Raw genomic sequence first — 18,355 nt, 5'->3', positions numbered from 1 at the left:
GAGGTACGAGACTATATTAACTGTCAGCAGAGTTGCCAAGTTTAAATGAGATACGTGAGATTTTGTTGCTCATTAAAGGTGTTGCCATGCATGAATTATTAAAGCGATCTTAATAAGTAAAATAGAAAAAAAAACTCCATTAAGGCAACAGTCTTTTAAGTCTTTATGAATTCTATGAATTATTACCCAGCTACTCAGTCACATTTTGCAAATAAGCGACATTCTAAGATTTACTCCAGCTAGTCATTATGCCCTTGAGTCTTTTACTCAAGAAAAGTAATTATTTCTCATCTTTTAATCTATCTTTTAATTGTCTCTTGTACATACCCACAAGAATTTTGACCCTTTCAAATGTTATTTGAAAAATCTGATGAGCATCCATTTCCCCCTGTTCTGTACTGAAAATAAGCAGTTTGTTTATTATATTACCCTCAAGGCTCATGTACAATTGTCTTAAAGGTGACACTGCCTTGTAACAAGGCCCTTTGGGTAATTCAGAAAGAAATGTGCATGGAGGGAGCCCAAGCCAGAGTCACTTCTCTGCCATATGCCAAAGATCATTAGAACAATATGCCAGTCTCAGAGTTACTTGTTTCGAACATGAGTAAACATATCTACACTACATCTACATTTATATTCAGTTACTTGGTAAATATGGTGTTTCCTTGTTTTAAATTAAAATCGCTGTCTCTGTTATCTGGAAACGTATTGAAATGTCAATGTTTATTAAGCAGGCCAGAATTGAGGATTTCAGTTTGTAGCTCTTCGCTATAAAGAAACGTGATGCTGACAACTTAAAGACATGTGCTCAGTAAGGGTTAGGAATGACTGTGACCATGTCACAACTGCAGCCTTGTCTACTCAACACATGACCATAAGGCTAGGATCCCAGTATTGTTGGCACAGTACTAGTGAGTGTCAGCTGAGGTTGGCTGGTCACAAATTGACGTCAAACCATTCACCAAACTAAAATGGTCACTAGTCATCAGTAGCAATTATTCATTCAGTCACTCATTAAACAAATATTTTTAACTGCTTAATTATGTGCTAGGCCTATGAGGGAGCTGAACTGATCCCTGACTCAAGGAGCTTTTAATTTGGTAGGAGAGGAGTATTGGCCAGAAATCACCAATAATCACAGGAGTAAATATAAAATTCAACTGTGATAAGTGATGGAGAACAGGTACATGATGCTCTAAGTTTCTGTATCGTAGGGTGATGTGACCTGGTCAAGAAGGCCAAGGAATGCTTTCTTGAAAAAAGGATAATTGAGGTAAGATATGAAGGTTGAATACAAGTTAACCAGGTAAAGTGTAAGGGTAGGAGTGTTCCAAGCAAGGATAGCAGCCAATTGTAGGAGGGGACAGGTGTATTTGAGATGCTGAATATATGGATCAGATAGAGAGAGGAGCAAGGTGAGGTATGAGATGGTGTCAGACCATGAAGAGCATTGTAGGTTGTATTAAAGATTTGGAGGTTCATTATAGGAACACTTAAAAGCCTGTTAAAGTGTTTGGCAATAGGGAGACATGAACAGATTTGCATTCAGAAAAGCTTCTTCTTTTTTTTTTCATTTCCAGCTTTTAAGTTCAGGGTTCCATGTGCAGGATGTGTAGGTTTGTTACATAGGTAAACATGTGCCGTGGTGGTTTGCTGCACAGGTCATCCAGTCACTTAGGTACTAAGCCCAGCATCCATTAGCTATTCTTCCTGATGCTTTCCCTCCTCCCACTCCCCACTTTCCAACAAGCCCCAGTGTGTGTTGTTCCCCCCTTGTGTGTCCATGTGTTCTCATTGTTCAGCTCCCACTTATAAGTGAGAACATATGGTATTTGGTTTTCTGTTCCTGCATTAGTTTGCTGAGGATAATGGCTTCCAGCTCCATCCACATCCCTGCAAAGGACATGATTCTCATTCCTTTTTATGGCTGCATAGTATTCCATGGTGTATATGTACCACATTTTCTTTATCCAGTCTATCATTGATGGGCTATTAGGTTGATTCCATGTCTTTGTTATTGTGAATACTGCTGCAGTGAACATATGTGTGTATCAATAATAGAAAGATTTATGTTCCTTTGGGTATATACCCAGTAATGGGATTGCTGGGTCGAATGCCGTTTCTGCCTCTAGGTCTTTGAGGAAATGCCACACTGTCTTCCACAATGGTTGAACTAATTTACACTCCCACCAACAGGGTAAACGCATTCCTTTTTCTCCACAACTTCGCCAGCATCTGTTGGGTTTTTGTTTTGTTTTGTTTTTTTTACTTTTGTAATAGCCACAGAAAAGCCCATTCTAACCAGAAAACAAATAGGAGAGGATAAGAGTAGATGTAAAGAGGCTCTTGAAGAATAAGAAATGCCGATGGTACAGGCAGTAGACATGAGGAGAAGTGGAGAAAGTCAAGAGACATGGGAGGCAATGAAACTGACCAAGCTGGGTCATGAAATTGACGTGGGAGCTTGAGAAGAGCAGGGCTGAAGATGACTCCCTGGTCTTTGAGTTGCAAAACTGAACGGATGCTGGTGCTCCTAACTAGGAAGGGAACACTGAAACTAAACACGAGATACATCACACTCTGCTCCAGACTACATCACGCTCTGCTCCAGACATTGCTATGTTAAAACATAAATAATTGGAGTAGATAGATTCATAGTTTCTATTCCTTGCCATACACATTAGTTAAGTTAGATCTTCCTGAAAGAAGATGATTTATAAATAAATGAACAAAAAGCATTGTAGTAGAGTGGAGGGCTCTGCCTTTTCACCCCTATGAGCTTTTAAGCAAGTTATTTTGTGTTTCTAAACTTCAGTCTCTTCATCTGAAAAATGGAGATCCTTTTCACCATATGAAAATCTCATAAATGTGCATGGAAGTGTTGAGAACATTGTCAAGATTTACTAAAAATGAAAATTATTTCTACTTTTATGAGTTAACCACATAATCACACTTGTTAACCATAACACAGGTTTATTATCAGACTTCAACCTCAGACTAAGAAGTTTTCCTAAGTCACAGCTTAATCTTGAATGAGAGTGAGCCCATGATAATGGCTAGGGCACTGTCTTAAATTCTTGCACTGGAGGAGGTTACAATCTATTTAAGGAAAATTAGACATATACCCAAGAAACCACTGAAAAATAATACCTGCTCTATATAATTTAGTGCTTCATTGAGGAATGGGCTAGAAATGCTGCAGTATCAAGAAATGGGAGATGATAGTGAAAGCCAGAATTCTAGTGTTTCATGGAAGAGATGGGCCCTGGCCTTGAAGGATGGCTAGGAATTAGGTGGGTAAATGAAAGAACACTAAATCAGGGGAACAATGTGGACAGTGCAAGGACACATAGGTATGGGCCTAGGGGAAGCACATGAGTTGCCGATTCAAGCAGAGGGCTCATATCTGGAAGCTATGACAAGATGCTGATTCACAGAGTTGGGTTAACTTATAGCAAGCATTGAAGCAAGGCAAAGGAGTTTAGATTTGTAGGCAAAATGAACTGTGGTGGGTTTTGAGCTGAGAATATTCTTCCAAGAGAAAAATCAGGACAACAGACAGATTCACATAAGAGGAGGGTGCAAAGGTGTTGTGACAATAACTTCTAAGTGAAATAACAAGTCTGGGCTACAGCTGAGGGAATGAGGCAGATATGACAGAGCATTTCAAAGAAAGAATTGATTAAAACCCAGTCACTAATTTCTCCTTCTCCGTTACATACATCAAGAGATGACTCCAGAGTTTGAAGCCTAGTAAAATAGTGAGAAGATGCGGGGAGCAAGCTAAAGTTGATTCCAGGAGGGACAATATGGCAAATTTAGTCAAATGATGCTGGATTACATGTGATGGCTGGAGGTACAAATGGAAATGTCCATTTGACAGAGACATGAAGATCTGAGACCAAGAGAAGATAATGAACTTCAGAGGCATGAACATAGAGTAATAGGCAATGCTGTAAAACTGCACCTGCCTCCATAAGAGAGTGTTTAAAAAGAGAGGGAGAGAGAGGACTCCTAAATTTAATAGCAGAAGGAGCAGAAATGGCCAGCAAGGGGACTGAGAGGATTCAGGCAGAGAGAAGATTCAGAATAACATGGTATCCAGAAGCCAGATGAGAGGAGATTAACAAGCAGGAAGAGATGGCCTTCAATGACATAAACTATAGAGAGTAATAAATTTAAAAGTTTCACAAAAAACTTTACTGGATTTTTCAATTTGAGAGAATGAGTGACCTTCGAACGAACGGTTTCAGTAAGATACTGGAAATAAATACAGTTTGTCTGGCACCAGAGCCCATGAGCTTAACCACTGTATTAGTACTGCCTCTTTATTGCTTGCCTAAGAGAGATGGTCTGAGGAGAAATAGGAAGGCAGGAATGTCAGGAGTTATTGAGAGAGACTGAAAAGGAAGAGAGGAAGATGCCAACATCAGTTTCATAGCCCCTACTCTGAATCTGCCTCCTCCACCTTACTAACCCCAGACCTAAAAGTAAGAGGTGGCTCAAATAGCATGGGTTCTTGAATATCACCTTAGACCCAGGGTGAGTCAGTGGAAGGGCAGGTAACCCAAATCCACCGAGAAAGGGAGGAGGGGAGTGGCCACTGAAAGGCTCAAGTGTGACTTGGCTATTTTAAGTCACAGTTTGAAGATTATCTATTCCCTTCTACTAGCCCTAATGACCTAACTGATACCACCTTCTTTAAAGATTATCTACACTTTGGAAACCCAGGTGGTTTTAGCCACACCGTGGAAGCTACTTAATGTCTGCAGGAAGTTCTAAGGAAAGGTGCTGTGCACAAATAATGGCAACATTGTGAAAGGAATGGGGGAAAGAGATGGGGATGGGAGGCTATAACACTTTCAGGTAAACAAATTTAGAGAGGACTTTTTTTTTTTTTGAGATGGAGTCTCACTCTGTTGTCAGGCTAGAGTGCAGTGGTGTGATCTCGGCTCACTGCAACCTCCGCCTCCCAGGTTCAAGCGATTCTCCTGCCTCAGCCTCCCCAGTAGTTGGGACTACAGGCGCACACTATGATGCCCAGCTAATTTTTGTATTTTTAGTAGAGACGGGGTTTCACCATGTTGGCCAGGATGGTCTTGATCTCTGGACCTCGTGATCCACCCGCCTCGGCCTCCCAAAGTGCTGGGATTACAGGCGTGAGCCACCATGCCTGGCTATATTCTTTACTTTAAAAAAGCTTATTGGCTGGGTGCAGTGGCTCATGTCTGTAATCTCAACACTTTGGGAGGTCGAGGCAGGCGAATCACCTCAAGTCATGAGTTCAAGACCAGCCTGGCCAACATGGTGAAACCCCGTCTCTACTAAAAATACAAAAATTAGCCGGGCGCGGTGGTGCATGCCTGTAATCCCAGTTACTTGGGAGGCTGAGGCATAAGGATCGCTTGAACCTGGGAGGCAGAGATTGCAGTGAGCTGAGATCATGCCATTGCACTGCAGCCTGCATGACAGAGCAAGATGAGACCCTGTCTCAAAAAAATAAAGTGTACAATTCAATGTTTTTTAGTCATTACTAAATAAAAAAAAAAACCCACAGGGTTGTTGAAACCATCACCACAGTGTAATTTTAGAATATTTTGTCCCCACTAAAAGAAATCCTATACTTATTAGCAGTCACTCCCCACCCCTCACCCCAGCCCTAGGTAACCACTAAGCTATGTTCTGTATTTGCCTGTTCTGGACAGTTCATAGAAATGGAATTATACAATGTGTGTTTGTTTTACAATTGGCTTCCTTCACTTAGCATCAAAGTGTAGTGTGATATATTGTGGAATGTATCAGCTCCTCATTCCGCCTTACAGCTGATTAATATTCCATTTTATGGATATACCACATTTTATTTATCTGTTCATCGTTTGATAGGTTCTTGGGTTCCTTCCACCTTTTATGCTGTGGTGGACATTCCTGTGCAAGTTTTATGTGGATGTATGTTTTCACTTTTCTTGGCTATATACCTAGGACTGGAATTCCTGGTAATTATGTTCAACATTTTGAGAAACTGACAACCTTTTACCCACAACAGCTGTACTCTTTTACATTCCCACCAGCAATGTAGAGGATTCTAATTTCCCCATATCCTTACCAGCACTTGTTATTGTCTTTTTGACTGTTGCCATCTTCATGGGTGTGAGGTTGTATCTCATTGTGGTTCTCATTGACATTTCCCTAAAGGCTGATGATGTTGGGCTTCTTATCCTGTGCTTATTGGCCATTTATATATCTTCTTTGGAATATTCTCCAACTTTGTCAAAGAAGATAGGTTAATACAAAGAAATAGGCTAGTGGAGGAAATTTTATGCAAAACATAAAGGAAGGGTCTTGGCTTGCAAGGCAAATAGACACACATTTTGAAATGGGCTGACATCACAGAGTCTGTTGCTCAAACACAGAGGGCCAGGGGCTTCAGCTCTGAAGCTGACACAGAAGTCAAGACACATATAGCTGCAACACATACAGCCTCCCATAGCTTAACAACTGTTCATATTTACAGGTAATGATAAGGGTAGGAAGATTTTGTGGAGGTTGCAGTGGAGTTTTGAAAGGTTTGCTTAATGAGAATACAAAGTAATCATGAACCAAGAGATCCTTGCCTTGTCTCAGTTTTGTTAGTGAATCAGTGTGAGACTTAGGTCACTGGGCGTCATCGTCGTCTTCGGTAGAATGGCATTGTTAGGCTAGATTTTCTAGGCTTAAATATTTTATGTATCTCTTTCGAAGTAAAAGATATTTCAGGGAAGGATGAAGAGGTTTAAAATATTATGTTCCTTTCAAAGGGCTTTTTCTCACGATGATGACGACAGTGAGGACTTCATAGGTAGATAGAGTCATTCTGAAGAAAAGAGCAAAAATGAAGACTCTGTAATGTGTAGTGAAATCTGTTAAAAGGTGCGGAGGTAGTGTAGGGAGAGATACCTGGGAGACCAGTGAGGGGAACCGTACTATTAACAGTAATATTTTAACTACTTAGCAATGGATATCTATTAAACAAAACTGATGTAACACTTACTACATACTGTAGATGGGAAAGAAATGGTATAACTCCACAAAAGAACCAAGAGGAGAGAGTTCAAGGATATGGAAAAATGAGAAATCTTCTCTGGGACCATTTTTCCCCCAACTCCGGGAAGTAGCAGCTGATGGTGGCCATCATTATAAAGATAAATGATAACACCTGCCGAGGAACTCCACCAAGACACTCGTAGTTCTTGGTAAACAAGAACTAATTAATTTTCACAACACCCTTGTGAGGCGGAAAGTAGCATCTTCCTGGTTTACTGACAGGGAAGCATCAGCACATAAACATAAGTGATGTAGCCCCTTCACACAGTGGAGCTCTGACAGGGCTGGGAATAAGAAGTCCTGGCAATTCAACTTCCAAACTCTCATTTTTAACTTATATTCCAGTTCTTAGTGAAAATGTTTCCTCTTCTTACAAATTAATATTGGATAGTATGTGTATCCTTGTTTGATGGGTACATAATTACTAGGTGTAGTTATTCCTAAGAATATGAAATCATCACATCTAAGAAGGGGCCTTAAAAATCATCTCATTTAACTCCCTTATTATACATGTTTAGTTACTCACCGTGGACATAGAACCTACTAGTGCCAGAGTACAAATGAAAGCCCTCACTTATCTTTGCTCCTGAGGGGCCAACTCCCATGTTAGTACATTTTTCATGTAGTTTCTTACTGTTTCCTCTTCTTTGAAATGCCAGAGAGTTGCACAAATTGAAAATGTCAGCATTGGAAGTCCCCATAAATGCTGTCAACTCCAACAATGCATCTGGCTCTTAAATCTTCCATACAGTTTCTCTAAGTGGTTGCCCACATTGTGATTAAACACAGCCAATGCTCAGAAAGCAACCACCTGCTAGGCAACCCATGCCACCTCTCGGCTGCCAGGAAGCTGTCTGCCCCCTTCAACAGCCATCAGATTACCACCCCTCCACAGCTGACACCAGGCCCTGCCCATCTACCCTACAGGACATCTCTTGTAGGGTGTTTTGATCTTCCTGGGCATCTTTATTGCTACCAACTTAATAGTGTTTCAGCAAATGTTTATGAAGCTCCATCTGTAGGTGCCAGCAACAATAAAATGATAAATAAGGAAAATAACAGGAAATTACATATGAATAGGCACTTTTAATACAAGGTGACGAGGGCTTTGGTGAAGTATGTGTAAGATATTAGGGGAACCAAGAAAGTTTATTACTTACCTACTATCTATAAGCACTGAGGATACAAACCAATATTCCCTAAGGGATACAGAGATATTCTCTGCCCTTCAGAAGCTTATAGTCTAAAAAAAAAAAAAACAGAATGAATATATAAATGTTGGCTCCGAGTAATTATGTGCTATGGAAATATGGTATTCCGCTATGTTAATTATAAGTTGTTGCTGCAGATAAACAGACATAACTGTAAATAAATTTAGATAAATTTAGTCATTAAAAATAATTTATCAGCAAAACCGCTGAGTTACACAGCTTACAGGGGTGAGTGCATTTCCACATTGCTTACTGTGAGAATGGAAGCCCCTGGATACGAACTTCCTGGACGTTTAGAACACCCACTAAGCTCTAGGTGCTGTCCATGAAGTCTACGATGTTGAACAAAAAGGAATCAACCCTGCTCTCCTTATAACTTACCATTCAAGGAAGAGACAGACATGTATCAAATATGTATGCAAATAAATGTATAACTATAACTGTGACAAATACTATAAGAGGAAAACAATAGTTTGCTATGAGAGAGAATAGCATGGAAGAAACATCATTTTAAAAGGGATCAGGAAGAAAATTTCTCTGTGAGGACCTGACATTTCCTCTGAGACCTGAAGGACACACAGAGGTTAACCAGGCAGAAAGAGAGAGAGGAAGGGAGGGAGAGGAAGAGAGAGAGACAGAGACAGAGAAAGAGAATATGTAGGCAGAAAGGTGGGAATGAGTTTGGTGTGCTTTGGCGCCTGAGGGGAGAAACAGTGCTCCAGAGGCGAGTGACCATGATGAGGGAGGGAAGCAGAGGCCCAGGTTCAGGCGGATATCAGGCAGGACCTTGTGGGCCAAGGAGGGGACTAGGGGTTTCGGTAAAATGCAGTAGAAAGTGACAGGAGTTTATTAGGCAGAGATCACTCTGCTGGGGGAACATGCCAAAGCTGGGGAGCAAGCAAAATTATGGAGAAACCAGTTTGTACATAGACGCTCAACAGACATGTATTGGACTGACCTCTTCATTTCAGGTGAAGATTTTAGTTCTAGTCTGTTTCTTCTCCATTTTCTAAACTTTATAGAAATATTTTCATTTGGAAAATGCAAACTCCTTCCTGTTGTTTGGTCTTTTGTCCTGCCTTAAACAGATATTCCTGAGTCAAATGATTAACGGTCTCTTAATGACAGAACATATATGGATCAATAAACACAAATGGTTTCCTCTAAAAGTCTTTTCATGTTCAATGCACTTGAGCCTCAGGCATTGCTTGGATTTTACTGCCATCTAGTGCCTCTGAAAACACGTGTGTTGTATTTTTGAGCAAGACACTCTCCAGAACTCCGTGAATGAGCAAATATATTTCTGCTTCTGGAATGGGAGAACCTCTGTTTTAGCTTTACTTATATCGCTTTTATATCAATGTAAAATAAGTCTGGTCTCATTTATTATGCTCTCTCTTTTTTTTCTCTGTACAATTTTCTCTGTCCAATTAGGGAGCAAGTGGGAAGCTGAAATCCAGCCCATGTTCTGTTCCCAAGCCAAATGCAGAGGGCTTGCGGCTGCTCGGAGATAGTCATCTTTTCTGATTTTGCACTTACAAGTTAGCAGCAGCTCTGGTGTCATTCCATGGTACTTCCCACACGAAATCCAAGGCTCACAGCTCCCCTGAGGCTTCCAGTTTTAGGATTCGTTTTTGTTTCTGACTGTCTGTTTTTTACAAGGCTCAGGAAGATCACTTGGCCAAATTGTATGATCAAACTATCACAGTTTGGTTGGTTTGGTTTGACTATAAACAATGTTTTCTGTAGAATATTGTAATAATGGCCAGCCAGGCACAGTGGCTCATGCCTGTAATCCCCGCACTTTGGGAGGCTGAGGTGGGAGGATCACTTTAGGTCAGGAGTTCAAGACCAGCCTGGCCAACATGGTGAAACTCTGTCTCCCCTAAAATACAAAAATTAACTGGGTGTTGTAGTGCATGCCTATAATCCCAGCTACTCGGGAGGCTGAGACATCAGAATTGCTTGAACCCAGGAAGTGGAGGCTGCAGTGAGCTGAGATGGTGCCACTGCGTTCCAGCCCGGGTGACAGAGCAAGACTCCATCTCAAAAAAAGAAAAGAAGAATATTGTAATAATGAATGTTCTTTTCAGAAAAGAAGTAGGAATGTACATGCTTTTGTGTTACACTTCTCCATGCACTTGTTCAAACATACTGGAACACATTTTCTTTTCCACAGCATCCTTCATTAAAATTCTCATCTTCTTCAAAGGTCCCAAGCCACTCGTTTCCGTTGGCATCAACCAGCTCCTTTTGACAAGCAGCAGACATGGGCAATAGATAATGTCTATATCGGGGATGGCTGCATAGACATGTGCAGTGGCCATGGGAGATGCATCCAGGGAAACTGCGTGTAAGTCGGTTTTTTTCTTCCTTCTGTTGAAAGCTCCTGATTCACATTCCATCTAGGAGATTTTTCTGTAACTGGTTTTTGAATCACTCCCATGCTTCCTTAAGTTATACATTTTTTTCTGAAATATGATCTTGAGCTAACTGTGAAGTTGATGGATACTGTATCTTCATTCTTGCTTAGAGATTAGGAACTGAACAATAGCTATCTTGTCAGGAGACAGATGAATTATAATTAACTATATTTTATTTCCTTCTGTGTTTCTGTGATACACTCGAGCCTTGAAAATAACATTAGAAAAGGTTCAGGAGTTCAGTAAGTTCTGACCAAAACTAATACATCATGAGTATTTTTCTCACTTAGGTCTGAATATATGTAAGGATATGCACTTGTCATTGTTTAATTTATATTGCTATGTTGTTTGCCTAAGAAAGTATGTAGATGTCTGGTCAATTTACCAGAGGTATTTGATGCACAGGCCTATTGTATTACTCTTAGAGAACCTCAGTATACTTGGAATAATTTAAATGAAGGTGTGGGGGTGTGTGTGTGTGTCTGTGTGTCTGTGTGAGATTATGCTGTTTAATGGGGAAGTATGAATGAAGATGCTTTCCCCATACACCTGGGAAGTCTTTTTTTGGCTAATGATTTTAGCCCATACCCAGGACGACCCTTGAGATCCCTGAGCTTCCCAGTCCTATATTCATATGCCCTTCCACCCTAAACAGGGAAGTCAGTCTTTTGGTAAGAAGTGACAGTTATTGCCCAAAGTATCTTCTGCTGTTAGCACCATGGCCCCTTGGATTCCTAAGTGGCTCAAAGCCTCTGTTAAAAAGACTAATTTTGTAAATTATTAGGACCCACCAGTTTACTTTGGCAGCTCCCATTGTTTATCAGCCCTTCAGAGCTGTGTGATATGAGATGGGCCTTTAGTAGATTCTTTGAAGTTGCTTCTTTCTCTCCACCTATAACCCTGAATCACTACCTTAGGAAATGTTAGAGTTAGTTAATTCATAGATTATTTGTAACCTAAAGTACAGTTAAGGAGAGCAGGTGTATTCTGGCAAGCTCTCTGAAAATCAGTAACTTTTCATCATCTTGGACTAGGAAAAGAGTAGTCTTCACTAATTTGAGAACAAGCTTGCAGGGGCTTTGTCTGATGTTGACTTTTCCTCTCTCTTGCTCTGCACCCAGCTGTGATGAACAGTGGGGTGGCCTGTACTGTGATGACCCCGAGACCTCTCTTCCAACCCAACTCAAAGACAACTTCAATCGAGCTCCATCCAGTCAGAACTGGCTGACTGTGAACGGAGGGAAATTGAGTACAGTGTGTGGAGCCGTGGCGTCGGGAATGGCTCTCCATTTCAGTGGGGTGAGTGTTTGGCTGCTGGTTACTCATTTCTGCTCTTCTTAAGTTCCTTCCAAATAGTTGACTCTCTTCTGAAGTTTAATGGGCAAATCAAGATGCAGGGTTAGTTACCCTAAATGTACAACCCTGATCTGAACTTGCAACTTTATACAAATCTTTATGCTATAAAGATAACTTTATACTATACTTTATACCAAGTAATTAGAAAATAAATATAGTATAACTTTATGCTATGCTTTATACTAAGGAATCAGAAAATATTAATCATTCCCAGGATTTTTCTACCACAAATCAGTTGAGACTATTTAATTATTCAGGGTAGTGTCAGCACAGGTCATATTTAAGTACATATTACAAAAGAATGTAAGTGAATGTTCATCTTGGAAAAGAGCACTTGTGCAATCTTCCATCTGCATGGAGCCCTTCTAATTGACAACTCCTGAGCTTGCAACAGATTTTGGATTTAAGGAGCCAAAAATCTGGAAAATGAGCTGTGATGGTTCCTGAATTTATTAAGAACAATGAATTATTTTTATAGGTTGTCCAGGAAAGAATAATTATTAGAAATTACTAGATATTTGTATGTGTAGCATATTATCTTGTGAGTGACAGCAGCAAGCTTGGAAACTTTCTTTGGGAAATTTTATAGTCACTCTACTTTTCTGCCAAAGGCGACTCTGTTTAAAATACAATTTCTTGTATACCATGATTAGATAGACAAATTAATGTTTTAAAATAACAAATTTGGCCGGGCGCGGTGGCTCACGCCTGTAATCCCAGCACTTTGGGAGGCCGAGGCGGGTGGATCATGAGGTCAGGAGATCGAGACCATCCTGGCTAACAAGGTGAAACCCCGTCTCTACTAAAAATACAAAAAAAAATTAGCCGGGCGCGGTGGCGGGCGCCTGTAGTCCCAGCTACTCGGGAGGCTGAGGCAGGAGAATGGCGTGAACCCGGGAAGCGGAGCTTGCAGTGAGCCGAGATTGCGCCACTGCAGTCCGCAGTCCCGCCTGGGCGACAGAGCGAGACTCCGTCTCAAAAAAAAAAAAAAAAAAAAAAAAAAAAAATAACAAATTTACTGCCAGCTCTTTATTTCCTTAGCATGCCCTACCTTAGAGTTTACATTTGTGCCAATGAAGTGTATTATTTATATTCAACATTTTAGCTCGAGTAGCAAGAAGGCATATAGCATGTAGGCTTTTTATAATCAGCAACACTGAGAAAGACTGCAGTGTTCAGGATACTTTTCCTCACTTAGAACTAAAAGTGAGTTTTTCACATATGTTCAACTAAAAAAAATCCGTATATCAACATTAAGAAATTAATACAGATGCCATTAAATTCTGCTAAAGTGTGAATTTAAAACATTACAGTAATTAGATTATCTGTATAATTATAAAATTTCCAGATGTAGCTATTTTTAAATTTCATATTAAAATAGTCATCTATTTACAGGCGCGGTGGCTCACGCCTGTAATCCCAGCACTTTGGGAGGCCGAGGTGGGCAGATCACCTGAGGTCAGGAGTTCAAGACCAGCCTGGCCAACATGGTGAAACCCCATCGCCATTAAAAATACAAAAATTAGCCGGGTGTGGTAGCACACAACTGTGGTCCCAGCTACTCGGGAGGCGGAGGCAAGAGAATCACTTGAACCCAGGAGATGGAGGTTGCAGTGAGCCGAGACTGCACCACTGCACTCCAGCCAGACTGTCTCAAAAAATTAAATAATAATAATCATAATAAAATGGTCATCTCAATATGCTATTTTCTTAGTGGTTGATTCATTTTTAAAAATCTAATAGTGTCTGAAAATAACTGGAGATAGTTTAATAAAAATAAAGGACAGTTATATTAGTTCCAGCTCTCATCTTGCTTATGAAAAAAAAACAGCCAAGGCAACTTGGAAATGTGTCCTGGGCTGCGATACTCAACCTTGGCCCAAATAAACATTCATATTAAAAAAAAGGAAAAAGAAAACAGAAAATTATCTTGGAATACATTGTTCTCTGTAAATAAGTCTTGAATGCTGAAATTTCAAAGTTCAGCAAACATGTGCTGGGTACCTACTGTGTACTAGGCAAAATACTAAGAGCTAGCATAGTAAGAAAGAGGGTAAGAAAATCAGTGCCACAATACTATGTGGCTGGTATCACAAAATAAATATTAAAAGAATGGAAATACCAGCACTTTGGGAGGCCGAGGCAGGCAGATCATTTGAGCCCAGGAGTTAAGACCAGCCTGGACAACATAACAAAACCCTGTCTCTACAAAAAATTAGCTAGACATGGAGGCATGTACCCGTAGTCCCAGCCACTTGGGAGGCTGAGGTGGGAGGATCACTTGAACCCAGGAGGTCAAGGCTGCAGTGAGCTGTGATGGTGCCACTGCACTCCAGCCTAGGTGACAGAGCAAGACCCTGTCTCAAAAAAAAAAAAAATCCATAGAAAATCTATAATCTGCAATCGAGATTCCTTATCACTTTTTTTTATTTTACTTCTTTTTCTTAGGGTTGTAGTCGATTATTAGTCACTGTGGATCTAAACCTCACTAATGCTGAGTTCATCCAATTTTACTTCATGTATGGGTGCCTGATTACACCAAACAACCGTAACCAAGGTGTTCTCTTGGAATATTCTGTCAATGGAGGCATTACCTGGAACCTGCTCATGGAGATTTTCTATGACCAGTACAGTAAGCCCGGGTTTGTATTCGATTTGATATCTAATAACGAGTACATCGAGCAGAGATTGCTACCAGCAATCAGTCACGGGAGACTGAGGGGGACCTCAGACTTATGCCTCACTAGAGGATGCCTCTGAGACTGAAATGAAGAAGGGTTTCTGAGCTGGATAAATAGCTGGTTTGGGTTTTTATTTTAAGAACAACTAGTTTTCACATCCCAGAATAAGATGAAATATTCTACCACAATGCCAACGGTGAATAAACCCAGTGCAAAAACCCACAGAAATTAACTAGTATAATTAATTTCAGCAATGCTTTGGGAAAATGGAAACAGAAAAATAAATATTTATTTATATAGTGTACACTCTGTTTTTAGAGAATTTTGGACTGGAAAGCAAAGAAACACAATAAAATGTAAATATCCTTAAGAAGCCTAGAGATTATTTTTAAACTCCTTATTTAAAAACCTTGAATAAACACAACGTATGGGTCATTTTAAAAAAAGTACTGAAGGGCCGAAAGCAATGATTATGACCAATTAGAAATGTCAAAGAGTTGTTAAGAAGGAAAATAGCATATTCAGTAAAGTAGGAGGAGGAAGAGGGTAAGAAAAGAGAAGACAGAAAGAATGAGAGAGAGAGAAAGGCAGGGTCCAGGGGGAGGCTGAAGAGAAGAGGAAATAAATATAGCCCAGACAGGAAACACATGCTGGGCATGGTGGCTCACACCTGTAATCCCAGCACTTTGGGAAGCCAAGGCAGGAGGATCACTTGAAGCCAGGAGTTCAAGACCAGCCTGGGCAGCAAAGCAAGACATTTTACCAAAAAAAAAAAAAACTTAAATTACCTGGGTGTGGTGGCATGTGCCTGTAGTCCCAGCTACTCAGGAGGCTGAGGCAAGAGGATTGCTTGAGCTCAGGAGTTTGAGGCTGCAGTAAGCTATGATTGTGGCACTATGCTCTAGCCTGGGTGACAGAGTAAGACCGCATCTTTAAAAAAAAAAAAAAAAAAAAAAGGAAACGTAGATAATCCTTTAATGCATGCAAGCCAGATACAGGCTAAAATTTGAGTAAAATAAAAAGAATCTTATAAATGATCATTTAAATTCAATATATCAGTTAAGAATAGGTTCAGCTGTCAATGGCAGGAAAGACAAAATTACTTAATTTTTCTCTCTCTCCTATGTAAATTACATCCCCAAAAAAAGTACTCCAGGACTACTGTAGTGGCTCCGCAAGCACCAGTGACCCAGGTTCCTCCTGTCTTATTGTTCTGCCCCACTCAGCATGTGACTTTCATCTCATGGTCCAAAAGGGCCACTAGCTCCCCAACTTTACAGTCCATAGGAAGGAGATTGGGGCGAGAAGGGTGTGCTCTCTCTTCAAGGACATTTCCTAACAGCTGCACGTACTTCCTTTCATATTCCATTAGCTATTGAGTTTAGCCACATAGCCACACCCAGATGCAAGGAAGGCTGGACATGCTGTCTTTATTCTGGGCGACCAGTCACTTGGATGAAAAGGCTCCTATTAGGAAGGAAGAAAGGGAGAATGGCCACTGAGGAAATACCAGCAGTTTTTGCCACAAGCAAAACTTTTAAATCTTCCACTTGCATTAAAGTTGGACACCAATAAAGGAATCCAACTAGAAGCTAAGTGGTACAGAGTACCCTGTGCTCAACTGTTAGTAGGAGATAACAGACAAGCCAAGTAAACTGTTTCCTTGGTCTTGATGGAGGAATTTATAAAGACCTCAAGTGTGAGTTCCTGAACACTTAAGCAGCATAACGTTAGTGCAAGGAAAAGAGAGTTATGTTTCTGTAGGGTAAAAGCATAACTGTCTAATCTACTTTAGTTCTCTGAAGGGGAATCAAATTGACTGAGGTAGGAAAAGTGGTTATAATTTATTTAGACTTTCAAGTAGCCTTAGGTAAATTTCCATTCCAGAGATTTTTAAAATGTGGTCAAAGACTTATCAGAGAAAATAAAAACTAATTTAGAATTAGGAAAGAAAAAATAGAGATAAAAGATCATTGCTCTGTGTGAAGAAGTGCGATTGTGTGTCCCCCAGAAACTGACAGATTTCGGATAGTATGTAAACATGTCAAACCAATAGAGGTAAATGTTAGGAACATCTCACAAGATAAGCATACCAAAAAAAAAAAAGGTGCAGGGAAGACAGATGAGCTTCAAAATTGACATAAATGAGGAAATAGACTTCGGAAAAGACTCTGCATAAAGGGTGATGTCTCCCAGCTGCCAGTACCCGCACAGGTGAGGGTCTAAGATTGATACTTTCTAGACTACACTGTTCTTCCCTAAGACTAAGATCCATTAAGCTATCATGGCCCAAAGGGCGCACAGAATGATGGCATAATAGAAAAAAGTATTTAAAATTCAAGTTGTATAAATCCAGCTAAAAGCATCCTACCTGTGAGTGAATCTTGGTTGGCCTCCATCTGGAATACTACCTACTGTTCTGGCCACTCTACCTCAAGGAAGACAGAAAAAAAAAAGGAAGGAAAAATAAAATCAACATGGAGATACTGTATAAACAAAATTAATATAATGAAATCTCTTTAATGTGAAAGACAAGAACTAAAACTGTCACTGAAGCCCTCAGTTTAAAGGGCTTCATGGGATGAACTTGGACTGGTTGTCTTGCCTTGGAGTTCTGCAAACACGAAAAGGCATCCCTTGAGGTATGCCTCTAAAGGGAGGTAGATTAGCATAGATTAAAAAAATAAGATGATACTGGCTGGGCATGGTGGCTCATGCCTGTAATCCCAGCACTTTGGGAGGCTGAGGTGGGTGGATCACCCGAGGTCAGGAGTTCGAAACCAACCTGGCCAACATGGTGAAACCCTATCTCTACTAAAAATACAAAAATTATCCAGGCATGTTGGCATGCGCGCCTGTAATCCCAGCTACTCGGGAGGCTGAGGCAGGAGAATTGCTTGCACCCAGGAGGCGGAGGTTGCAGTGAGCCGAGATTGTACCACTGTACTCCAGCGTGGGCAACAGAGTGAGATCTCTGTCTCAAAAAAAAAAAAAAAAGATACTTTGTGAGGAGGATGGTAAATCTAAGGACATTATCTTCCCCAACAGATTTTATGAGTTATGAATATAAATTCAAGAGGTTGATATGTTCCTGGGTTTTCATGTATAATTGTGATTAAAGGGCATTTTAGACCTTATTTCTAGCTAATTCAGTTTTCTGTTGGAGCATGGAGCCACATTTTTCCATGTCTGTCCCTGGTGAGTGAGACAGGGATAGATAGCATGCTGGGCTTGCTAGCCCATGGTTCTCACATGACATTTTCTATGAATATATACAATTTTAAATATTTTCAACAAAGCATATAAACAAAGTCAGTGTCTGCACCACAGACAACTGATAATGGACCTGGTACCCTCAGGCTGAGAACTCAAATGTCCTCCCACAATCCAGTGTCCATACCCCAAGTCACTTGCCAGCACTCATGGAAACAGAGTGAAAACAAGGTGCCAGGGAAGGAAGCAGAAGAAGCCAAGCACTAGGTGACAGAAAAAAGTCAGCATTGGCTTATGTCTACCAAAGTGCATATACTCTAGGCCTACAGATACCCACCAGGTATGCAAAAAACTGTGCAGTCCCTCTAAAGCCTGCCCAGAGACAGAACCA

The 18,355-nt window shown here is 40.5% G+C and overlaps 1 protein-coding gene across 2 annotated transcripts in view; it reads left to right on the top strand.

Annotated features, from left to right (window-relative positions):
• The window catches only part of RELN (reelin), a 517,870-nt gene that overhangs the window by 455,624 nt on the left and 43,891 nt on the right, over positions 1-18,355 (top strand). For both annotated transcript variants that reach the window (NM_173054.3, NM_005045.4), the window contains exons 47-49: positions 10,504-10,644; positions 11,836-12,013; positions 14,519-14,712. In NM_173054.3, the coding sequence (NP_774959.1) occupies positions 10,504-10,644; positions 11,836-12,013; positions 14,519-14,712 (513 nt within the window). The remainder of the gene's footprint in view (positions 1-10,503; positions 10,645-11,835; positions 12,014-14,518; positions 14,713-18,355) is intronic.

Source organism: Homo sapiens, chromosome 7 (assembly GCF_000001405.40).
Source record: "Homo sapiens chromosome 7, GRCh38.p14 Primary Assembly".
NCBI lineage: Eukaryota > Metazoa > Chordata > Mammalia > Primates > Hominidae > Homo > Homo sapiens.
This window is presented reverse-complemented; position numbering and strand designations above follow the sequence as displayed.